At 38.4% G+C, this 24,224-nt stretch overlaps 1 protein-coding gene and 1 long non-coding RNA gene across 13 annotated transcripts in view; one reads left to right on the top strand and one right to left on the bottom strand.

The window, feature by feature from the left end:
- LOC107986198 (uncharacterized) overlaps positions 1 to 22,929 on the bottom strand; it is a 44,091-nt gene extending 21,162 nt beyond the window's left edge. Inside the window, exon 1 of the long non-coding RNA XR_001741448.3 lies at positions 22,650 to 22,929. This is a non-coding gene — a long non-coding RNA (uncharacterized LOC107986198). The remainder of the gene's footprint in view (positions 1 to 22,649) is intronic.
- Positions 1 to 24,224, top strand: part of PALLD (palladin, cytoskeletal associated protein) — a 431,390-nt gene that overhangs the window by 10,860 nt on the left and 396,306 nt on the right. For 11 of the 12 annotated variants that reach the window (XM_011531768.3, XM_011531769.3, XM_011531771.3 and 8 more), the window contains one exon: positions 3,512 to 4,501. The exons of the other annotated variant lie outside the window; for it this stretch is intronic. In XM_011531768.3, coding sequence (XP_011530070.1) covers positions 3,512 to 4,501 — 990 coding nt within the window. The remainder of the gene's footprint in view (positions 1 to 3,511; positions 4,502 to 24,224) is intronic. 12 annotated transcript variants of the gene reach the window in all.

Genomic DNA, 24,224 nt, shown 5'->3' on the forward strand with positions numbered 1-24,224 from the left:
GGATCCAAGTCTTAAAATACATATTTGCCAGTATCCTCTTCACCTCCCCGCTCTTCCTCATCCCTCACACATCATTCTTTCAGCTTTCTCTCTTTCACAAAGGTTTCCTGATCCTGACCTTGCTGTTGCTTCTAGGTGCTATCACAGCACTTTGTTTTTCTATACCACTGCAGGATGACTATAGCTAACAATAACATACTCTATAGTTTCAAATGGCTAGAAGGAAGATGTTGAATGTTCCCAACACAAAGAAATCATAAATGTTAGAGATGAATATGCTAGTTGCCCTGATCTGATCACTATAAATTGTACGTATTGAAACATCACTAGGTACCCCATAATTATGTATAATTATTATTTGTCAATTTAAAAAATAAAATACAATTTAAAAAAAGACATACTCAATTATATAAGCTTATTATTTAGTTGTAATTTGTATTAAGTTCCATGAGGGCAAAAACCTTCTCTTTTTCAAGGTCATATCCCCGTCCCTAGCGCACTACCAGGCATGTGGTAGATAGTCCATAAATACACTTCGAGTGGGTAATTCTGGTCCATGTAGTACATCTATCCCAGCTTAGGCTTCACAATTTCGTCATGTCAAGAATCAAAGGTTTTGTTGCAATTATTTCCTTGGATTTTCAGCTTAATCTACCACAGGTTTGGTTGACACAAAATGTTTTTCAATCTCCTTTAGCACTGATTTCAACACAAAAACTGAATTTCTTTCAGGCCATAATAAATAAATAAATAACAAATAAAAAACACAGTAGCTTTCTTTCAAAGAAAAATAAATTTTACAAGAAATGCAATAAATGAAAATATAGTCTGTTGTGCCTTTGGTACACAAACCTACTTTCAGCCCCCGAGTCTCCCCCTCTCCACCTTCATGTCTCTTCTGGATCCATGTTACCTAATGGCTCATCTCCCCACACCTTGTAAGAGTTGATCCTGATCCTGGCTTCCCCTAAAGTTATCTACCATGTGTGCTGACTGAGGGGCCAATTGTACTTCAGAGCTCATTACTGAGAGAAACCAGGCTGCCTTGGTAGGACAAACTATAAAACGTTTTGCAATATACAAAATGGTACTGGGTGTCCTTGCAATAGACACCCAGTACCATTGCTGGATTGGCTCTGGTGGACGTTCCAGGGTCATCTAATTCCACAGGGGTCTATGCCTTTTATTGTCTTTACAATTTTACAACTCTGTAAGTTGGAAAAATCTAAAAACAATGCAAATTATACTGGTGCATAGATATACAAATGATTTTTTTTCTAGTAGAAATGCTATAGTTTTCCACTCTTATGATTCCAAACATTGTATTTTATTGCTCTATAGATATTAACCAGTTTCAAATCTATTACCAACTTCATATCAGCATGCCTGATTGCCTACATGTGTCTCATCTTCAGCGTCTCCTTTGAAATAATTGTAATATATTACTGATTTTTTCAATTGTTAAATAAAAGCTCAAATACATGTTATTTGATTTTTATATATTACTATACCTTTGCCTTTTCAAAATCATACTTTAACTGCCTGTTTCTCATGAAGAAAATACATTCAAGTATTAAAAATACACTGAATATAATTGTTCCTCATATACGAGCCATATCTGAATAACTGGAGACCAGTCAGGATGTTTCTATCCTGCAGCACAGACTGGACAAAGGAATTAGAGTGATATTTGGGTTAGTAAAGTCAGGGAGAATGATGACACCCTCTGAAGGATTAAGGATTTACTTGAAGAAGAGTGCGAAATATGGTTCAGTAGATAGAGTAGGGCTAGCATGTGGTGAATCTAATAATTCAGGCACAAAAAAAGTAACTATCTTTCTAAGAAGACATGTAAGACAAAAGTACAGTATTCCACTTAAGAAGATGGGGTATGTTAACATTGAGTTTCAGGATCTCTGATTAACTACCCTCTGTTAAACAGCAGGTCTATGACTCACTGCATCCAGTGAAGCAGTAGGCTCTTGAGCTGGATTTCTACAACCCCCTCGACTCTTGCATAATGTATTTTGAAATTAGAGATTTTCTTAGATGGGAAGATACTTCTACGCAAGCAACTCAATTCAGTCCTCTGAAGACACACCATTTCTGGGGAATGTCCCACCAAGTTTACTCCTGACTGACACAAGGTAGAAAGTTGAGGTTCACCACATCCAGGAAGCTTCCATTATTCACTCCTAGACTCAGTCTTGTGGCAGACATCACCGCTGATGTTTTCTAGATCGTCCCTCTCAGTACTCTATGAACAATATATAGCAAAAGAATGGCACACTTAGAGTAACAAGGAGTCATTGCTTCACAATATAAAGTTCAAAATGTCAGTGGAATTTAAAGCTGTAATAGCTTACAGATAATGAAATACCTTTTATTTAATTCTGCTGATATTCCCATGTAAGTGTTCTATGCCAGGCCTCTAGTTATCTCATGCCCTTTAAGATTAGATTAGACTCTCATAGCCCCCAGGTTTTTCTCACTTTCCTTAAAAGCCTTATCAAAATTTTATATTATTAACATATTATTTGTTTAATATCTTCTCTATCTCCTCCACTTTACTACCTCCCATGACTTTTAACTCCTTGAACATGATAACTGTGCTGTAAGTCTGGATGAAGGGTCAGCAAATTTCAGCCCCTGAGCCAAATCCATCCCAACCCTTTTTGTATGCCCTGCAAACTAAGAATGTTTTTCTCATTTTAAAACTATTGTTTAAAAATTAAATATCAAAATAATAATAGTTTTAACACATTAAAATGATATAAAATTCAAATATGAGTGTCCATAAAGTTTTATTGGCACACAGTCATGCTCATTCATTTCCATCATCTTTGGCTGGTTTCATGCTCATGCAGAGTTGAGTAATTATAATAGAGGCTGAACAGCTCACAAAGTCAAGAGTATCTACCATCTGGCCCTTTCCAGAAAAGTTTGCCCATCCCTGGCATACAGCACAGCTGTACTTCCAGCACCTGAAATTTAATAAGTGATTATTACCATCTGTTGGACTGTTGAGTGAATGAATATGAATGCACATAACTGGAGACAATAAAGTTTCAAAGATTTCACTGAAAACTATAAATAAATGAAAATTGGAATCCTTAAAATGCATTTTGTGGTTTAGGGTTGGATAATCAGAGTCAGATTTACTAAAAATATCAATATTCTATTGATCTCATTACATTAATCAATTAGAGTTTGAGTAAGGTGGGCGGGGGGCTGACTGTGAGCCCTATCCTACTAATAGTGCCTACTGCACACATCATCTTTTTGAATGATTTAATACTGCCTAGTGAGATATTTGATAGCACTCACAGGGCATGTATTAAAATCATAAAATGATCAACACAAGTATACTTGATATTTCTTCCAACTTGTAAAATAAAGAAAACTTATATTCATTCACTTTAATGTTTCTCCCAATTTGTGACTTACAAGTTTTATGATTAAAATGGGGAAAAAATCATTGCTACTAATGACATTCTATGCTGTCTTTCAGAACACAGTTTCAGAAAACAGTTTCCAGTGCCTCTGGCCTTCCTACTGAAAGCAGACACAGAGTGCATGAAGACCGTTCAAATATGTCAGGGACCTCCTCCCATGAGTCCTTCTATGACTCCCTCTCAGACATGCAGGAAGAAAGCAAGAATACTGACTTCTTCCCGGGCCTTTCTGCTTTCCTCAGCCAGGAAGAGATAAACAAGAGTCTTGACCTGGCCCGGAGAGCCATAGCCGACTCCGAAACAGAAGATTTTGACTCGGAAAAGGAGATCTCGCAGATTTTCAGTACTTCTCCTGCAAGCCTCTGTGAACATCCTTCCCATAAGGAGACCAAATTGGGTGAACACGCCTCGAGGAGACCTCAGGATAACAGGTCAACACCTGTCCAGCCTCTGGCAGAGAAACAAACTAAGAGTATCTCTTCACCTGTTTCAAAGAGGAAACCTGCCATGTCACCCCTGCTCACCAGGCCCAGCTACATCCGGAGCCTCCGAAAGGCTGAAAAGCGTGGTGCAAAAACTCCCAGCACAAACGTAAAGCCCAAAACGCCACATCAAAGAAAGGGTGGCCCCCAGAGCCAGCTGTGTGACAAGGCAGCTAATTTAATTGAGGAGCTAACATCCATATTTAAAGCCGCAAAGCCAAGAAACAGAAGCCCAAATGGGGAGTCCTCGTCACCAGACAGTGGGTACCTGTCTCCTAAAAATCAGCCGTCAGCCCTGCTGAGTGCCTCAGCCAGCCAGAGCCCTATGGAAGACCAAGGGGAGATGGAAAGAGAGGTCAAGTCCCCTGGGGCCAGGCATTGCTACCAGGACAACCAGGACTTGGCAGTGCCACACAACCGCAAGTCTCACCCACAGCCCCACAGCGCCCTCCACTTCCCAGCTGCACCTCGATTCATCCAAAAGCTGAGGAGCCAAGAAGTAGCAGAAGGGAGCCGAGTTTATCTGGAGTGTAGAGTCACTGGAAACCCCACTCCTCGAGTCAGGTATGAATTTTTGTATTATGCATAGCAAATGATCTTGTTGACTTTGGTGTTACTTTAATATGGGAGGAAGAAAGATTTCCTGTGTCATTAGCCCTCTGGAGACTGAGGTAGAGTACTTGCAAGGAGAGAAGCAGCCCAGAATCGCCACTATGAGTTGTCCTAGTTGTCCCTGGCCTGATATATCTGTGGTCATGCACCCTCTGTGCTAAGGAAGGAAGGCAAAGGACTTGAGAAGGCAAAGAGCAGTGGAAACAGTTTGTTCTCTAAGATGGTGGAACTAGTAACAAATAGGCACACTTAAGATGTGAAACTTATTTACTCGAAGTACTGTGAAAAGTGTGTGTATATTTGAATATGAGTTGCTAAAGACGGTTGAAAGCATGGCTAAAACTAGCTGCTATCTAGAAGTGAAAGGCACGAGTGTGTAGAGGCCAACCTTCAGATTAGCCCCCAATAACGCATTAAAGGGAACAATAAACACCGAGGCCTACTTGAGGGGGGAGAGTAGGAGAAGCCTGAGGATCAAAAAACTACCTATCAGGTACTAATCTCATTACCTGGGTGACAAAATAATCTGTATGCCAAAGCCCTGCAACATGTAATTTACCCATGTAACAAACCTGCACACGTATCCCCGAATGTAAAAGTTGGAAAGAAAAAAAAAAAAGATTCTCATATACAAGAAACAAAAACCAAACAAAAATTATCCCCCAAATGGATAATCTAGTCTCAGGCATGGACTAAATAGGCACATATTCAGTAACATAAACACACACACACCCCTTCAATGTGATGCAAAGAAGGAAGGCAGAACTTTCCTAAGAAAGAAAGATAAATCAAGTCAGGAGCTCCGCAGGTCTGCCCGTTATTCCTACACAGGCTCTGGCCACTAGAGCATGGAGACAGCAAGAAATAACAGTGAAGGGAGTATGCACTTAGAGTTAATAGGCACTCATACCACCATGTTCATTAGAATTTCTATACATTCTTCTGACTTCATTGTAGAGTTTATACCTTCCCCTGAGCAAAAATGTTAAGGGGAAAGAGATCCTGGAGTCCCCCTGCAGGGTTTCCAGTCATGATTCCATTGCCCAAGTTACTCTACCCCTCTGTGACTCAGTTTCTTCATCTGTGAAATGGGAAGTATAATGATACCTACATCATTCTGTTTTATGATTAAATAATACATGGGGAAAATTAAAGCAGTACCTTGCAGCTAGTAACTGCTGCAGTAGTGTTACCTATTATCTTTATTATTTCTCATTTCTTAATTTTATATGGCAAAATGAAAATAACAAGTCAGGATTATACTACACAAATAATGAATATTCATTTATCTGGGAAGTTTTGCTTTTATTCATGCAGAATGCTTTACCTAAATTACATAAATATTTAAAAAGTTAACTCAAGGGCCAGGCACAGTGGCTCATGCCTGTAATTCCAGCACTTTGGGAGATTGAGGTGGGTAGATCACCTAAGGCCAGGAGTTCGAGACAAGCCTGGCCAACATGGTGAAACCCCCTCTCTACTAAAAATACAAAAAATTAGCCAGGCATGGAGGCGAGTGCCTGTAATTCCAGCTACTCAAGAGGCTGAGGCACAAGAATCACTTGAACCTGGGAGGCAGAGGTTGCAGTGAGCCAAGATCATATCACTGTACTCCACTCCAGCCTGGGTGACAGAGCGAGACTCTGTCTCAAAAAAAGAAAAAAAAAAAGTTAACTGAAAATTATTTGATTTGGAAAAAAATGGTAAAGTAGACATCACTGGCTAAAGATTGAATTGAAACACTGGTACTTTCTTACTAATAGCATTTCACAGATCACAAACTTCCCTGTATCTCTGATCCTTTGCTCACTAACACAAGCTTTGCTAGTGTTGGTTTCTTAATCTGACCTCATTGTGCACACACATGAAGTAAAAATTAGCATTACTGGCTGAAAAGTGGTGTGATTACAGGTGGGCGATTTTTTTCCCCCGACCAATTTGTTCAACTAATTCACTTTGAGTCAGCTTTACAGTAATTTTACTATAATTCTTTAAGAAACTGACAGCAGGGGGCAGTAAAAAACTTTTTCATGTGTTCATTTAATTAAATATGTCGTTCTAAATTCTGCATTTATATGTTATTTATGTAGATTATTTATACAGATTTATATACATGAAGAATTTGTTTCTTACATTTTACCTTTGACAGAAATGAATGTTTCAGATTCTATTTAGATTTTTTAACCTATCAATCTTGCAAATAAATAATTTTCATTAGACATTCATTCTCATGTCACTCAAAACAGTTCCACAGGTTTTCAAACTACATATGGTTCCACCTACATTTACTTCCAAAATAACCCTTGAAGTATACTACAACCTTTAAAAAATGACAGAAAGCAGTCCATTTAGCATTGAAGGATTAATTCAGGTGAACAGACCATAATTACTGTATTAAAATTCACTTAACCATTTGGTGATTCTAGGGGTCATCAAATTCACACTTCTGCCTCTTTGGGGGTAGCAGAACTAAAATTTAATTTAGTTAGTATCTGCAGTATTATTAACTAGTTTTCTCTTATTCTGCAGTCTATGAAAGTCCAAACTTGACAAATTATGCCCTTCTAGAATAATTAAGTCTCATAAAATGTTCCATTGTTGAAAGTTAGCTGGTCATGTTTGTATCCTATAGAGTTTTTTGGGTTTGGAGGCTGTTTTTGTTTGAGAGGGAGAGCATAGATGCTCATTGGATTTTTTAAATTTCTGTTCCAAAGATCTTGATCCTCCTTGTCATGTATTTGTAAGTGCACCAGACGCCTAAGAACATTGAGCTCTTTTGACCACATGAGACATATGACAGTCATAAGAGAAAATCTTTGAAGGAAATTTTCTATCAGGAAGAAAACCTTTATTAAAGATTTCCTGCAATGGGGCATTTTAGAACCTGACTCAGACTGTGTCAGTCCAGAGGACCTAGGACCTGGAGCTTAGGCAGACCTATTGATTGGCAGGCCATTTCCTGAGGTCACAGAAGCAGTTGACAGACGTGTGGAGAGGCAAGGAGATGTCAGGAGAATCTAAAGCAAGCCATAAGCAGAAGCCCAAGAGACACTGGTTGGTGAGAGCAGAGACGCTCCTCAGTGTTGGGTAGTTGGCAGCTGTACTGGGAGGTAAGTGAGGTATGGTGCCAAGAAGCTTGGCGGTTGGCCAATGGAAAGGTCCAGGCTGACTTATAGGGAATGCGTCACAGGAAAACATGGCAGCAGACAGTAGGATCAAGATACAGGAGCTGGAACACGGGGGAGAAACCTTTACCTTGCAAGAGTTTAAGCAAGTGAAAGTTAGGACCATAGCTCCAGAAAGACAAAAGAACAGAGCAGAATCTTAGTGACTCAACTGGGTCCAGATTAGGGAAACCAATTGCTAGGTTAACATGCCTGGGCTACTAAGCAGCTGGCTGGAGCTTAGATTAAACAACAGAGATTGTTTGCTTTTGAAAGCTGGCATGATGAACCTTACAAATGTGGATAAAGAAGCCCCCACTCAGGGAAGAAGTAACAGAAACAACAGGGTAAAACCAGGCCAGTCACTTCAAGGCAAGGCATTTGTACTTCACATGCAGTCACTTCACCCTCTCACACTGTGTGAACACCACTTATGACTACAAACAGGACTGAAAATATGTTTTCCTCCTTTATTATTGCATATCCAACAAAATCTCAACAAGAGAAAGAAGAGCTGATAGAAGAAAACCCTATGCATAAAAAAGGACGTTATATACAATTGAGGTAGTATTCACATGATATGCAAATTATATTAACAATTTGAATTACTACATTAAATGAAATCAAGTCAGAATTCATTTTTTCTCTGCTTATGCTCAAATGTCCCATATTCTCATATACTCCTTCCAAACAGCATAAAGACCTGTTCCCTGACATCACTCACCTTCCCTGTTCTCTCCACTCTTGACTTTGTGAGTTAGTAAAAAATTTGTGAAGAATTTTAGTTCAAAATTACCTCCGGTATTATAAAAAGGAGGCCTTATATTTTTAAAGGTATTTATTTATTTTTAAAGGTATTATTTATTTATTTTAAAGGTATTTATACCTTTAAAAATATTTTATCAACTGTATGTTTTAAACCATTTAAATGTAAGGAGACTGGGATCAAAAACTGTGAAATGATGTGCCTAGTAATACAAAAATCATTCATTAGTCATGGAGACTGGAGTATAACTCAGCTCTTATGATTCTTGATCCCATGCTGCAGTTGTTAATGAGAAGACTTAGCCACTGTCACTGTGGAGTTAGAAGTTATGCATAGCTTACTGAAAGCCTCCAGAAATGGAGATAGTGGAATTGCCACCTTTAAAAATCTACGCTTGGAATTCATATTCCAAATATCTTCAAAGAAAATGGTAGCCTGGCAATTTCCAGTATCTTTCTCTATGGAAAAAGAAAACAAATCCCTTCATGGGTATCCTTCCCTTTTTTTGTATTAAGTTAATCATGGTCAATCAACAGAAAATATTTTTTAAGGTGGGTATAGTTAGTGTAGAAACATTCAGTGTTGGGTAGTTGGCAGCTGTAGTGGGAGGTGAGTGAAGTGTGGTGCCAAGGAGCTTGGCAATTGGCCATTGGAAAAGTCCAGGCTGACGCACAGGGAATGCGCCACAGGAAAACATGGCAGCAGGAAGCAGGATCAAGACACAGGGACTGGGACATGGGAAGAAACTATGTTATTCTCAATCAAATTACTACAAATAAAGTTATTATTCAGAAAATAACTACAAATAAAACAAAGCATTCCTGTTTTATCTACAAGTAGTCCAAACACATCTTTATATTATTAATATAAGGTAAATGTGTACATATGTCAAAAAAAACTTTTAAACACCCACTTATTGTAGTAAAAGTGGAATCCAGTAATGTGCTTTAATAGTCTAAATACAATTACTCATATCTAATCATAAGATACCTACTAGGTCATCATTGTTAGCCCTGTAAAGTTTTATTTACTATATATAATTAAAAGTAATACAATTATTTCTTTTTATAATCGAAATACAGCATGTCCAATGCCTCCAATTAGTTTACATCAGCAAGACTTTGATCATCATCAAAAGCCAAAACAAGAGGATTAGCCATATCAAATCTATGCAACTCTGTCAGTAAAAATTTCCATCTCCTCAAAAACGACAGGAAGAAAAACAAGCCATGAATTTACTTTTCTTACTAAGGGTAAGAAAATATGGTATCTCCCATCTTTTGGCTGATTTGGTTTCGGAAAATGTAGCAACAGCACCACTAGCCAATAGTTTATGAATATTCAGTGCTTGTAAAGTGAAGATCCAGATGGCTTAGCCCAGGAGTATCGTTGTTGTTAAAGAATATAGTCAGCAATGAGATACCAGATAATACCATCAGATCATCAAAATGAAAAAATCCTGACAATACACGTGTTGTGACTGCAACATGAAATGTAAATAGGTACAACCAGTTTGGAGAACTGTTTTACGATACACAATTAAGATGTGCATACACTAAGCCTTTATAGATACACAACTGCCTACTTGACACCACTATATCGATGTCTGATACTCTTATCAAATTTGTCGAAAACTAAACTGATTCTCCTCTCCTCCAAAAACCTTCTCTTTCCAAATCTTCTCCATGTCAACAAAAGACAACCCTCCTTCCAGCTGTTCAGGAAAAAAACCTTGAAGCCATTCTCGATCCCTCTTTTTCTCACACCCCAAGTCCAATTCATCCAGCAAATCCAGCTGGCACCACCTTTAATGTCTCCAGATCTGACCACTTCACCCCACCTCCATAAATGAGGCTGCACGTCAAGCCACCATCATCTGTCTCTTTGTTATTTGCATTACCTTCCAACCCATCTCCTTGCTTTCGTTATTGTTCATCACAGTCTACACAGCACTCAGAGTAATTCTTTTTCATGAAATCACTATCACAGCACTGCCCGAACACCGTCCAGGGGCTTCTCACTTAGTCCGAGTAAAATCCATAGTTCTTATACATCCTAATCAGGCTTCATCTCTCTGATTTCACCTCTTGCCACTCCCCCAGTCACAGTGGGGTTCTTGGCTGCACCTCCATCACACCACCAGGCTTGTTCTTGTCTGGGGCCTGTGTACTTTCTGCTCCCTCTGTTTGTAAATCTCTCTCCCCAGATATCTGCAGGATTAAATCCTTGATCCCCTCCATATCTCTATCACCTTTACAATATGGCCTCCTATAACTACTCTATGTAAAAGAAAGGTCCTGCCTACCTTACTCTCTATTCCACTCTCTTGCTTTTCTCCATAGATCTCATGTGATACACTGCACATTTTATCTGTTTGATTTTTGTAGTTGTCTTTCTTCCTTCACTAGAATATAAAATCCTTGGGTGTAAGGACTTTATCTGTTTTACTCACTTTTGTGTCCTCAGAGCCTAGAACAGTGTCTGGCATGTAACAGGTGCTCAATAAATATGTGCTCAAGAAACTGGAAAGAACCTAAACATTCATCAAAGAGAAAATGGATAAATTGTGATATAGTCACACAACAAATGAACTAGAGCTGCATGTATCAGGATATATGAAACTCATAAGCATAAAATCAACCAAAGAAAAGCAAGTTGTAAAAACTTACACATAAATTACATGGACAGATGTTTGCATATGAAGTTACATTTGCAAAATAGTACTATTTCAGGCTTACGGATGTAGTAGTACAGAGAAATGTGTGGGAATGAGGAACAGTCAATTCCAGACAGCAGTAACCTTTGAGATGAAGCACGTGATTTGTGAGGAGTCAACTGTGTTGGCAGTATTTTATATCTTAAGGTGGGTAGTAGAGACACAGATATAAACTACATCATTTTAATATTTAATAGTGAAAAATACTGACTTTCATGTTAATCTACTATCCTCATGATGTATCAATAAGTTCAGCAGCAATGTCTCTAATGAATACTTTGATTTACCCCATAAAAACCATCCAGAAAATATCTTGGTGTTAAGCACTGTGAATCGGATAGGTTGGCTTTTAGCCATTTGTCCATATAATTTTCAGGGTTGTTTTAGTTATATTTTAGAGCTTTTTAAAATGTTTTTTTTTGTTTTGAATTTATGGTGTTTCAGTAGAATATTATATGTATTCAGTCTTGTGCCATGGATCTTTTATGGTATAGTCTACTTTATTTGCTGCAGTCAATTAAAAAATCTGTATATGAGCTTCTTGTTTTTAAGGAAAAAGTCTGCATTAGGCACAAACACACACACACACACTATGGACCTGGTTAGGACTAGTGAGAGGGAATTTGAAAATGAACAAGTGCTTCCTGTCACTATCTCACCAACCCAATTGCCTCTCCTCCCATCTACATACCTAGACAATAGGAACAAGCACACTAGGGCAGAATCCATAAGAAAGCAAAACCTAATTTTATAGTTGCCTATTTTCTTATTCTTTTATTTCTTAATTCATTTTAAATCTTTTTTTTTTTCTGTGTATTTGCACTGAATTGAACAAACAAAAGCCTTTATATTTTGCGGAGGACAATAAATATTCCCTAGAACACCCAATTACTGTTGAACTAGAAAGCAAAAGAAATTCATAAGAGAATGGCACCTTTCGCCGGGCACGGTGGCTCATGCCTGTAATCCCAGCATTTTGGGAGGCCGAGGCGGGCGGATCACGAGGACAGGAGATGGAGACCATCCTGACTAACTTGGAGAAACCCAGTCTCTACTGAAAATACAAAAAATTAGCCGGGCGTGGTGGCGGGTGCCTGTAGTCCCAGCTACTCGGAAGGCTGAGACGGGAGAATGGCTTGAATCCGGGAGGCGGAGCTTACAGTGAGCCAAGATGGCGCCACTGCACTCCAGGCTGGGTGACAGAGCGAAGATTCCGTCACCAAAAAAAAAAAAAAAAAAAAAGAGAGAGAGAGAATGGCACCTTTATTTTCACTTAAGTGAAAAGATAGCCTTATCTCTGACTCCTACCACACAATTTCTGGGAGTTAACTCATGAAAGGCATGCGACGCATTGAGAGGTTTTATCCTCTTTCTATCTTTTCCATTCTTTCTTAACCGCTGTTTTCATCCAGTACCTACCCACTTGTAATTTTCACTCTGAAAACTAGCTATGCCTCTGCAGTAGCTTACCTGCAAGGCCATCATTAATGAGAATATTGAGTCTATTTCTGCAGACCTTAGCGAAATGGAATAATTCAGAATCCAGCAAGCCCAGGAAATATTGCCCCTGTTGCATGGAATTCTTGTTTAATGACTTGAATATTACAGAGTGGCAGCAGCTGCCTTATTACCTCTTCTGGTCAACCCATAACACCATGATGTTATGAAAAGCCCATTCCAGCTGTATAAATGCATAAAGCTGTGAAAATGTTGCTCTCACTGATACCTTAGTGAACCAAGAAGTAAGGCTGATATTCAAGGCAAAAGTGGAATATCACTATACAGTTAGAAGTTTGAATTGGTTATGACAGTCATTGGTATCTAGTCATGAGTAGCAGTAGCTAAATTAGACAGTAGCATCAGTTTATATCTTAATGGACAAGTTTCTGGATTTAACAAGAAAACAATAAACACCAAAATAAATGTAGCTGAAGAATAAAGGTAGAGATTTTTTAATGTCTTTTGCTTTGAATTTGTGGTGTTTCAGTAGAATATTACATGTAGTCAGTCTTGTGCCATAGATCTTTTATGGTATCATCTACCCAGTTTACCTGCTGCAGATGGCAAAAAAAACAAAAACAAAAAAAAACAAAACACCTGTATATAAGAAGCTTCTTCAGATAATCCCTTTAGAATTAAAAGGGATTCGTGAAACAAGCATCAGAAGCGCTTAGTGGTGGACAGTAGAGGTTCTAGAATCAGAATGTGACTCTTGGCTCCATCACGCATCAGTTAGGTCACTGTGGCAAGTTATTTCAACTTTCTGTGCCTCAGTTTCTTTGTTGGTAAAATGGAAATAATAGAAGTACCCACCTCTAGGGTAATTATGAATGTTAAGTCAATTAACACAGAGAAAGAGTTTAAAACTGTTAGCACATTGTAGTGTCTTAATAAATATTAATGTATTATTTTAAAAGTTACTTATTATTTTAAAGTGTTTACTTTTATAGTTTATTGTTATTGACTTAGAATAAACTCCCCGCACTCTACCTTTTCAAAAACCTTTGACTCTGTTTCCTCTCTTTAAAATCTTCATACTGCCATTTTCTTTTATACTACTAAGTATTCACAATGGTATAGAGCCTATGGAGATGGAACACTTCAACAGCATAAAATAAACAAATGATTTATCAGAAATACAATACATCTTGAAAGTTGCTTTTGACTATTTGTTGAGTCCTAGATTTGTATCTCAGAGTCGGAATCATCACAAAGGCTGCCAGGAAGTAGTGGGATACTTTCCCTTGGTCTCTGTATAACATACTATTTTTTTTATACATTTTTACCTCACTTGGCCTTCTGTTCCTTCACTGCTGCAGGGTATGGGATCAAAGCCAAAGAAAAGTGATTTGTTTCTGTCTCTACTCCTCCTTCATACAACTAATTATCTCCCCATCCTCTCTTTCTAAATGTAGAAGCTGTGAAGGTCAGCCGTACTGTGGATTACTGTCAATTTAGAACACCTTCCAAAAATAAAATCTCTTTGACTATTGTTTTCTTGCTGCTTTAAAAATTGTTTAGCAATTTCCCTCAGTTTGCTTTGTGAGCATGTGTTAACTATTTGCTAGAGTTAATTGAAAGTGGTTCCCCAATACTTTAGCCACTCTTTGTTTTTGTATTTCAATAATTTCAGCAGGAAGAAAAATCTAAAATAATTTAAGTAACAAATGCAGGCTTTTCCTCAGCTAGATAAATTGACCTTTTATTTTGCATTTTCTTACTACTAAGTATTATACCATGCTGCAAAGCTCTCAAAAGGAAAAGGATGTGCTTTTCGGAAGTTTAATTTATTAGTATGCAAACTAGTATCAAATAGTTGTTTTGAAAGAATTTGACCCTGAAGTTTCAGATACCTTCACAGTCAAAACTACTCAATGTCTCAAATCTTTTCTGCAGAGTCTATTTTAAGTACTTTTCAACATGTTTCTTCATTTGCCTTGGGGCCATACCTCCTCATGGATCACTGAATCTGCTTAAGCATAATTACAGCAATTCAAGGACTCCATTTAGACATTGCATTCTTTTGACGTTTTGGAGTTACTTTATAAATGTAACTGTAGCAAATACAATTTTAAGTATGAAACTTTATATAGCTTACTGTGCTGACCAAGATGCAAAATAGTTCTACCAGTTGGTGTTTGAATGATATATAACAATAGAAATGGTTCTTTCCTATTTAATTTTAATTGATTTGAGCCAAGAAATAGCATCCTATTGGATATCTGCTGAAATAGGACTAAACTGCTGGTCTCCTGAACTGTGATAGAGAAATCCAATCAAAAGCTTTTCCTGGCCAAAAATAATACTAATTGCAAGTGAAAACTAGCTTTGTTCTCTCGGTTATGAGTTCCAATGGTGAAGTCTAGTTCCATATAACAGTGCATGGTAAATTAGGCCACAGAAACAAGCTTCCAGTCACTGTTTATATGATCCACATGTTGTGGTCCAAAAAATGTAAATAAAAATACCCTAGGGAATAAGAACTTTTTCCTAAGATGACAGCTTTTAGCCTTGGTTGTTGAAAATGGTGAGTATTTCTAATGAAATTGAAAACAAGTCTAGGGAAATGAATTTCCAAGTAATGGAGGAGAATCTTTGAGAACGAGAAGAAAGAGGAGAGGAGAGGAGGGGAGGGGAGGGGAGGGTAAGGAAGGAGGAAGGGAGGAAGGAGGGGGGAGGGAGGAAGGAGGGAGGCAGACAAAGAAAACTCTCATCTGAAGATTAATGGTTCTTTTAAAGTCAGAAAGATCTTCAAAATAATTTTCACCATTATATAGACATTACAGACCAATTGCTTTGACAGAGAATATTCTAATTGTGTTAGTGCAAAGAGAATGCAATAGATATACAGTTGTGGACATCTAGGGAGATGAGAAAGAAAATGTTTCAGTTTTGGACTTTGAACCACTACAAAGACCAAGAATTCTCCATATCAATATATGAATTTGATTATGTTAATGGACCAGCATGGGCCCAGCATGCTTTCTAGAAGGATAGTAATGAGAAGGTATTGATAAATAAGAGGATTTGTTCAAGGTCAGGGCTTAGCTAAGCCTGGTCACTCCAGTCCAGGGGCCTTGTTATCCCCTAATGAGGAGGTCTTGAAAGTTAACACCAGAAGCACGGTAACATTCAACCACCATCATATATGTCTGTGCAGTCACTGTGTAGAATTACACATAGTACTAAATTGTAGGAAGTTTATGCTAAAATTGCCATTTTCATGCTTGTCAACCCTATGGTCATCATTCTAAAGTCACCAATTAAAATGATTCCTCTTTATTTTCTTACAGAGCTATTAACACTGAACCCTCACGAAAGTTATTGTCATTCTCCTAGTAATACTAATAGATATAATAATATTAATAGCCAACATTTCTTGAGTACTTAGTGTATGCCACTCTTCTAAGGGCACTACCTGTATAAATTCACTTATTCCAATAAGCTAGATACTGCCAGATTTCTGGGATTCTAAGACATCTATTTTACAACACTTTAACATCTTTGTAATCAGAACTCTTTACAGAAAAGGACATACTTAAACAACAGCTGTCAGATGACTCATTTTGTGGTTGTATTGCTTGTACACATACAAATTTGGTCAGAATTGTTTGGCAGCTTAATTATTTACTTGGCCAGTACTATATGCTGTTTCTTTATTAGTGGTTCATAAAACAATGGTATCTAGTGGTGATTTCATGTTAGATTCAGTGAACTAGAAATTTGTTTTCTCCATTTTAAAAATAACATACTAAGATATGAATAGTTTAGCAAAACTTCCCAATTGTCCAGTTACTGGTAGGGATGGAATTCACACTGAGACAAACTGGCTCCTGGGTCTATACTTTTTTGTTTCTAATTTTTATGGGTACATAGTAGGCATATGTATATATGGGGCACATGAGATTTTTTTGATACAAGTATGCAGTGTGTAATAATCACGTCATCATAGAAAATGAAGTATCCCTCCCCTAGAGCATTAACGAATCTGTACATTTTAACTGCTATACTCTACTGCCATAACCCTTCTCAAGATCTGTCTCAATGGAGTTTGGGTGAGTCCTCCTGACCATCAGAAACACCACCACAGATAGTGAGCAGTTCTCTAAAAGCAAACCTCATGAATCGCTTCCTTCCATTGCCCCCAGACAATGTTAAGAAACCTTAAAAAAGAAAAGAGCCATGATTGATTCTTTAGTGGTCCTCATGAGAAAACTGTGCTGTATACATTCCCAGCCCACTTTGTGGTGTCACATGAGGAAGAGCCAGCGTCTTTACTCTTAGCAACAACCTTCCTTGTTGCAACTTGTGAGGGCCTGAGCTACAGTGCCTCCTCTATCAAAGCCATTTTGCTGGGTTTCTCTTTCTTTTATAAACAGAACACTGATCCCAAGCAGAATATAACAGATATGACTTGTAATCCGTTATAGTACCATTTAATCCTTATGTTTAGCTGCCAGCATTCTAATTAAGAATGTGTTGGCATATGTTGGCCAGAATCCTGCAACATGGAATTATTCCATGGGCCAAGCCTGAGGACACACACTGCTGCCTAAAATCGAGGAAGAAAGGGCCCCAACCACACTTTAGTTCAAGTGACTTCTGATATACCTTTTCTACAAAAGGCCATTGCAAAATACAATTCTGCAAGATCATTTTTTACGAAATAAATAATTTTAACTTTGAACAGGGAGCTAAGAGGGAAGCATGAAGATTGAAGAAATCAAATTAACTTTGGAACGAGAGATTGTCGTCATAGCCTAAAAAGTCAATGAGCACATCAAAAGGAGAGAGATTCCTCTGCCCACAGTAAAATTCATCAGGGGGCCACATGGTATAGTGTATCTAGGTGTTAGGTGTGCAGACAAGGAATGGCGTGCCTCAGTTTGGGGTCAGTTTCACTGACTGAACATTTGTGCTGCCCCATTGTACACACTCAGCTCTACAAATATCTTGACCAATTCATTTCCAACCTAGATGCTAGATATTTGGGAGAAATTTTTAATTGGAGGGGATTGGCACATATGTTGTAAGTGCCCCATTTGTTTTACTATTTGTTAATGGAAAATGCCAATGGTATACCTCAAATTAAAGATACCATCACCCTTAGTAATAGTTTAAACAAGATATTCCACAGAAGAAGAATGAGAAGAATCACTCTAGTATGAGAGCTATTGTGTTTGGATTGTATTTTCTTTTCTAAATCCTAATAGGCCAATGCAGGTAAAATGATGAATCCATTAACAAGGTGTTTCTATCCTATTACAAATCAAAGTAACTTTACTACCACTGTGTAACCTATAATAATTATATACCGTATAATATATAATGTATACTGTAACACTTATGTTGCCAATTTTAAAATTTTATACTGATCTAGTCCCTTTCACCTGCAAATCTTAAAATCTTAACATTTGTTCATCCAGTGCACTATGTAAAATGGCTTTAGCTCTTTGGAATTGGAAGTTGTATCTTCTAACATGGCCTAGGAGCAGCCCCTGCCTTCCAGCATAGAGTTCAGCTTCCAACACACGCCTCAAGAACCATGGGTTTTTTTGGAACATGAGGCCAGCTCTTAGCTACCTGCAATTCGGAACGTACTATTTGGTTTCAGCAGTTTCTTGACCCTTCATGGGGTCATCTTCAAGTTCTGTATTGTTGCATATGTGTTTTTTCTCTTTGCCTTTGGATAGTTTTCTGGCTTTCAGATTTTGATCTTTCAGATTTTGACAAATCAGAAAAAGACCAAACCCAGCCAAAACGTGTCTTTCATTACAGTTTGTTCTGGTTGAAATGTTAAACCTTCTCACATCCGTGGTATTGAAGCAAATTATGATCCAAAAAGAAAGAGGAGTTGGGTTCATCTTCTCTCTCTCACATCCACATTGCAAATCAGTCCTTTTTCACTCCCCATATTTAGTGCTATCTGTTGTCCTCTTGCCTCACTTTCTTCCAGGAGGTCTTCGTATCCTCAGGTAGGTCTACAGAAACACAATTTAGTTTTCCTTTCATCATGCAAACACAATGCTACACCTGCACTAATCATCTGTGCTCAAAGCCAATGGATGATAGGGGGCAAGTGTTAGAAATTACCCAAGGCTCTTAGCACCTGGAGTGTTTTCTCACAGCCTCACCTGTATGGATAATTTTATCAGCCAAATAGAGTAAGTGGATCTTAGTTGATCAGAGCAGGAAACAAGCTTGAAGCCAGGGGTAAAAAAAAAAATTAAGAGAAGCAAATGAAGCCTCCAGAAAGGGAATCTGAAAGAGACAAGGTGAAGGATTAGAAGCAGATGGCATGAGAAACAGTTCCAAGAAGCAATGAGAAAAGGCAGAGCTGGTGATAGTTCACTGCTAGAGACCATTAAACATCCATATCCCAAATGGTTCCAGATCAGACCTCCCAGGGAATGAAATTAATATGCAACAGTCTCCTCCTTTGCCAGCTGCTTGTGGCATTTGTCTCAGCTCTCTGTGAAAAATTGTGTGTACTCACAATAACAAACATATACGCGACAGCAATCCTTCCGAGGTGACACGAGTCATTGTTGAAGAGTCGTGCTCCCAGCACGTTGGGAGGCTGAGGATGGCAGATCACCTGAGGTCGGGAGTTCAAGACCAGCCTGACCAACACGGAGAAACCCTGTCTCTACTAAAAATACAAAATTAGCCAGGTGTGGTGGCACATGCCTGTAATCCCAGCTACTCGGGAGGCTGAGGCAGGAGAATCGCTTTAACCCGGGAGGCAGAGATTGTGGTGAGCTGAGATCGCGCCATTGCACTCCAGCCTGGGCAACAGGAGTGAAACTCCATCTCAAAAAAAAAAAAAAAAAAAAAAGTCATGCTCATGGCATTACTTCCTTAAAACTTCGAGTAGGATACAGAAGGAAATAAAGACAGTAACCTCTTTGGGGTTCTGTACATCTTCACAAAGCTTTTCTTCATAGATCAGAAAAGAAACTTAAATATTCCTTGGGTTTAAGCTGCCACAGAATTGTGTTAAGATTATTAAAATACAAGCATTTAAATATGAGGATCATAAGTCTGCCTTACTACTTTTGCTCCATTATCCTCTGACTCATCATCTTTCATAGACCCTGACAGATCCTCCTCTTCCCACTCTTCTCCACCCCACTGTCTTGCCCTGAGTGGCTGATCTGTGTAGACTAGAACAGACTCCTTCAGGTTTCCGGTTGGGCTAAGTCCTGGAGGGCCCTGGCAGATCAGAAGGAAGAAAGAGAGGAACTCAAGGTACTTAGTGTCCCATCTTCCTCCTATGGGCTTGCCTTGGCCCTCTAAGTCAAATGAAGGTCTCCATCAACACAATGCTTCCCTGTGTTCAGGAAAGTGCATCCACCTTCTGTTCCTTTAGGGTTAAGAGTGGTAGCAATTCTGCTTTGTAGTCCCCAGGTGATCCCTTATCCCTGGGTTTCCTCATACTCTGACGATACCTTCAGATATAATCTTTTCATGAAACCCTCCTTGCATTGTTTGAGTTTTAGTGTGCCCTCTCTTTCTAGCTAGGACCACAACTGCTACATCCTCCTCCTGATTGCCCAAACCTAAAATGATGATGACCCATAATTATTATCCAGATACGGTGACACAAGCAATTCCTGAAATGCTTTCCTCTGAAATTGCTAAGGATTACTCACAGGCAAGTTACACAGCTTCAAAATTACTTTTCCAGCTCTATATTCCCTATTATTTCTCGCTGTTTGCTTTTAGACTTAAGTAAACTTCAACTCCAATTCTATAACTTAGTAAAAGAATCACATTGATGTGAAAGTCCAAAAAGACATTTGATGTTGTAAGTGGAATTTTCTCATTCGTTCACTCTCTGTCAATGAGAAATTAAATGACTAACACTAAATGGAGTGCTACATATGTCTGGCATTTTTTACAAAGGAATTTATATACTGTCTCTCATCCAGTTATCTCGCAAGCTCTGTAGGGTAGGTTCTGTTATTACGTGTTTTAGATGTGAGAAAACTGAGACTCAGAGAGGTAGGCAAACTATCCAAAGACATAACGTGACAGTAATGTGTCTGGGATTATTAACACCAAAAGTTGGCTTTTTGGTGGAATTTGTAATGATGAGTGATTCATACATTTGAAGTGGTGCTTGACTTATTTAATGGTACATAACAAACCACTCCAAAACTTAATGGCTCAAAACAATTTATTATTTTCTCTCACTTACTAGTCTATTTGAAGACTAGCTACCACAGGGGAACTCTTAGGCATTTTTTTCACGTCTGTTATCCTGGAATGAGTAAACTCTAATGAGAACAAAGAATACCGAATATCATGGAGTTTGGATGAGGAGTGTGATACAACAGGGTTACAGTTTGAATTAGGAGTCACGCCAAAAGGAAGGTAGAAAGGAATCCAGATCAGTGGAAAGGAGGAAGCACCTAACATAAGAACTAGGTGTGCCATTAAGAATTATGCTTTGGGCCGGGCACGGTGGCTCACACCTGTAATTCCAGCACTTTGGGAGGCTGGGGCTGGTGGATCACCGGAGGCCAGGAGATGGCCAACCTAGTGAAACTTCATCTCTACTAAAAATACAAAAAATTTCGTTGGGCATGGTGGCACATCCCTGTAATCCCAGCTACTCTGGAGACTAAGGCAAGAGAATTGCTTGAAACCAGGAGGTGGAGGTTGCAGTGAGCTGAGATTGTGCCACTGCACTCCAGCCTGAGCAACAGAGCCAAACTCTGTCTCGAGAAAAAAAAAAAAAATGTGTTTTTCTCTTCAAAATCTGACTCCCTCCCTCAGTCATGTAACCTGCAGCATAGTATTAGCGCAAGTGCAGGGAGCCAGGCGAAGGGGGAGAGTGGTACACAATTAAGAAGGGCACAGCCTCCCCAGGCTCTTACTGAACTGCATTACCACATGACGATGGAAAGTCTTCAGCTAGTTTTCCCCCCAAAGAAATGAATCTGGTAAATCACTATGTTTAACTTACATCTGTTTTATTAAAACCTAAGAACAATCGTTTAATATAAAAAAGTTTTTTGAGACATTTTATTACCGAAAACAAAGATCCAATTACATGGCTTCTGTAGTGGGAGTTCTCAGCAGACAGAAGACAATTACAAAATCAAATAAAGCTGTTATAATTTTAAATCAAATAATTACAGACAAAATGACTAAGTATTGATATTTTTGTTTTTAAAAATAAAACCAGGCTAAATAAATGAAAATAAATACTTAAAGAAGTAATTGTTGCAGCTAAAGCAAAGCATATACCTTCTTCACCTAAAATATTAGCTTACATGTTTATTTTCATTTTAATGAAACCCAGCCCCCGTACAATATGTGTAAACGTCAAACTAATTTTATGTTTCTCTATTAGGTTTCCCACCATTCTAAATGGTGCACATTTAACAATATTTTATATTTCATTATTACTATGGCCCTCGGGTTCTGTGTTAGAACAATTACATACTGTAAAGAATTAGAAGTTTTTGAGGATTTACTCTCCAGAATAGTGACTGAATGTACTTTGATAGAAATGGAGTAACAATAGCTAACTCTAATTTATCCACTGCAATTGGTAATAAAGGAAGATAGTTAAGATCTCAAATCTGGAAGTCTGATATTTTAGCCAACAATCTCAACCTTCTCATTAAACAAAATATTTCTTTGCAGATAAGGCCTCTGCCCTTATTCTCTCATCTTGCTATTGATGTCCATTACGTGCATTTGGACTATGTTATGCATGTGTTGGACATTTATAGAACACTCCTTGAGTGTAAAGCTCTGTTGGGTATTGAAGGGTACAAAGACTCTATCCATCCCTTCAATAAACCTAGAACTGCAGAGAGAGATAGACACCTGCAACTGAAGTTCCTGCCTCTCACAATATTGATATAATTGGCTCCTCCCCTCGCCAATTTTATGGTTTGTGAAAGTTCAAAGCATGTCTTCCATATCTTTTCTCACCTATTGGACTCCTGTTGCTGCACATGCTGCTTCTGTGATGCATTCAGTGGACTCAGATGTAAAACTGCACTGTCTCTTTGAGTTCACATTTAGCAATTTTTTATTCACACTTATGAGCTGAATAAACTTCACAGAAGATGGTCTGAAAGGAGACAGATGAGGAACTTACATCACAGGCATGCCCACAATCTGTAAGGGAGCCAAGAAGGCAGGTCATCTGGAAAGCTAAATATCATTTTAAGACATTCATATTCTCCTATAACCATCAATGACCACTACTCACCTCTCTCTCCAAACTGCCCTTTCTTCTCAGCTTTCTCTTTTATCCTGGATTGCAGAAGCTCCAGATTCTTTTCCCTCTAATAAACAGGGAATGTCCCCCTCCTCTGAAGTCTTGGCACCATCTGATACCTAGATATTCCCAACAGAGAATCCAGTCTCTGGAAGAAGTGTTTGTGCAAATTACAGAGCATATTTTTAAAATATTCTCCCTTTTGTCAAATACCCTTAATTCAAGGCATGAATAAAAAGGACTAGAAAATAATAATGTTATGATATTGCTTATAGTAGTAAGATTTCTTGATTATGTATGTGTGAATATATATAATTGTGGGACCATGTGGTGATTTTTTCCCCTTTTTCTACTATTTGTCAGAATGTTTGGTAATAAGACTGCTTTGGAGTAACAAAGAATTGCTTAAGTAGACTAGCTATAAATTTTAAGCTGATGATGATCAATCTGAAATGGATGGTTAGACCCAGAACCTTATGATTATTTTGCCTGAACAAATTACAGAGATGAAAGGCTGCCTTCAAATTTTTGGACAGGATATCCCAGGTAAAGATGGAATTCATCCTAAACCAGAGGAGTGATGTAATACCAATTCCATTACCACTCAGTGTCCGGCACTCCAGACCAGAACAAAGCTGAAAAATCGGCAGGTGTGAATGACTCACACTGGACACTGAGTGATACCATTCACGTATCTTCTGTCCCCATGACGGAAGAAAATTGGCCTAAGAAACTCAGGAAGTGAAGCTTATATGGTGAACCAAAAAAGTTAGGCCATGCATGCTTAAGGAATACTCAGTGAAAAATCATGAATGCTGATAGAAAAATCCTCCCTCACATTGATGCTACTACAGTGAAGATATAATGTAGGTAAAAACACTGTCTTCATAAGGTATTGGCCACCAGGTCAACAAAAACAGCTGCCCTACAGAGGGCATGTTAAACAGAGAACCACTCTATCCCTGAAGTAAATCCTTTCCTGCTTTGGCAATTGAGGGGCTGGAGTTTTACAGGGGAAGGGGAATCTTCCAAAAGCCCTCCTTTTTTTTCTTTTTTTAAAGATTTTTACTTCTCTCATTTTATTTCTTTTTTAACTTTTAAGTTCATGGGTACAAGGGCAGATTTGTTGCACAGGTAAACTTGTGTCTTGGGGCTTTGTTGTACAGATTATTTCAGCACCCAGGTATTAAGCCTAGTACCCATTAGTTATTTTTCCTGATCCTCTGCTTCCTCCCATCCTTCACCCTCTGGCAGGCCCCAGTATCTGTTGTTCCCTGCTATGT

Source organism: Homo sapiens, chromosome 4, assembly GCF_000001405.40.
Source record: "Homo sapiens chromosome 4, GRCh38.p14 Primary Assembly".
Classification (NCBI taxonomy): domain Eukaryota; kingdom Metazoa; phylum Chordata; class Mammalia; order Primates; family Hominidae; genus Homo; species Homo sapiens.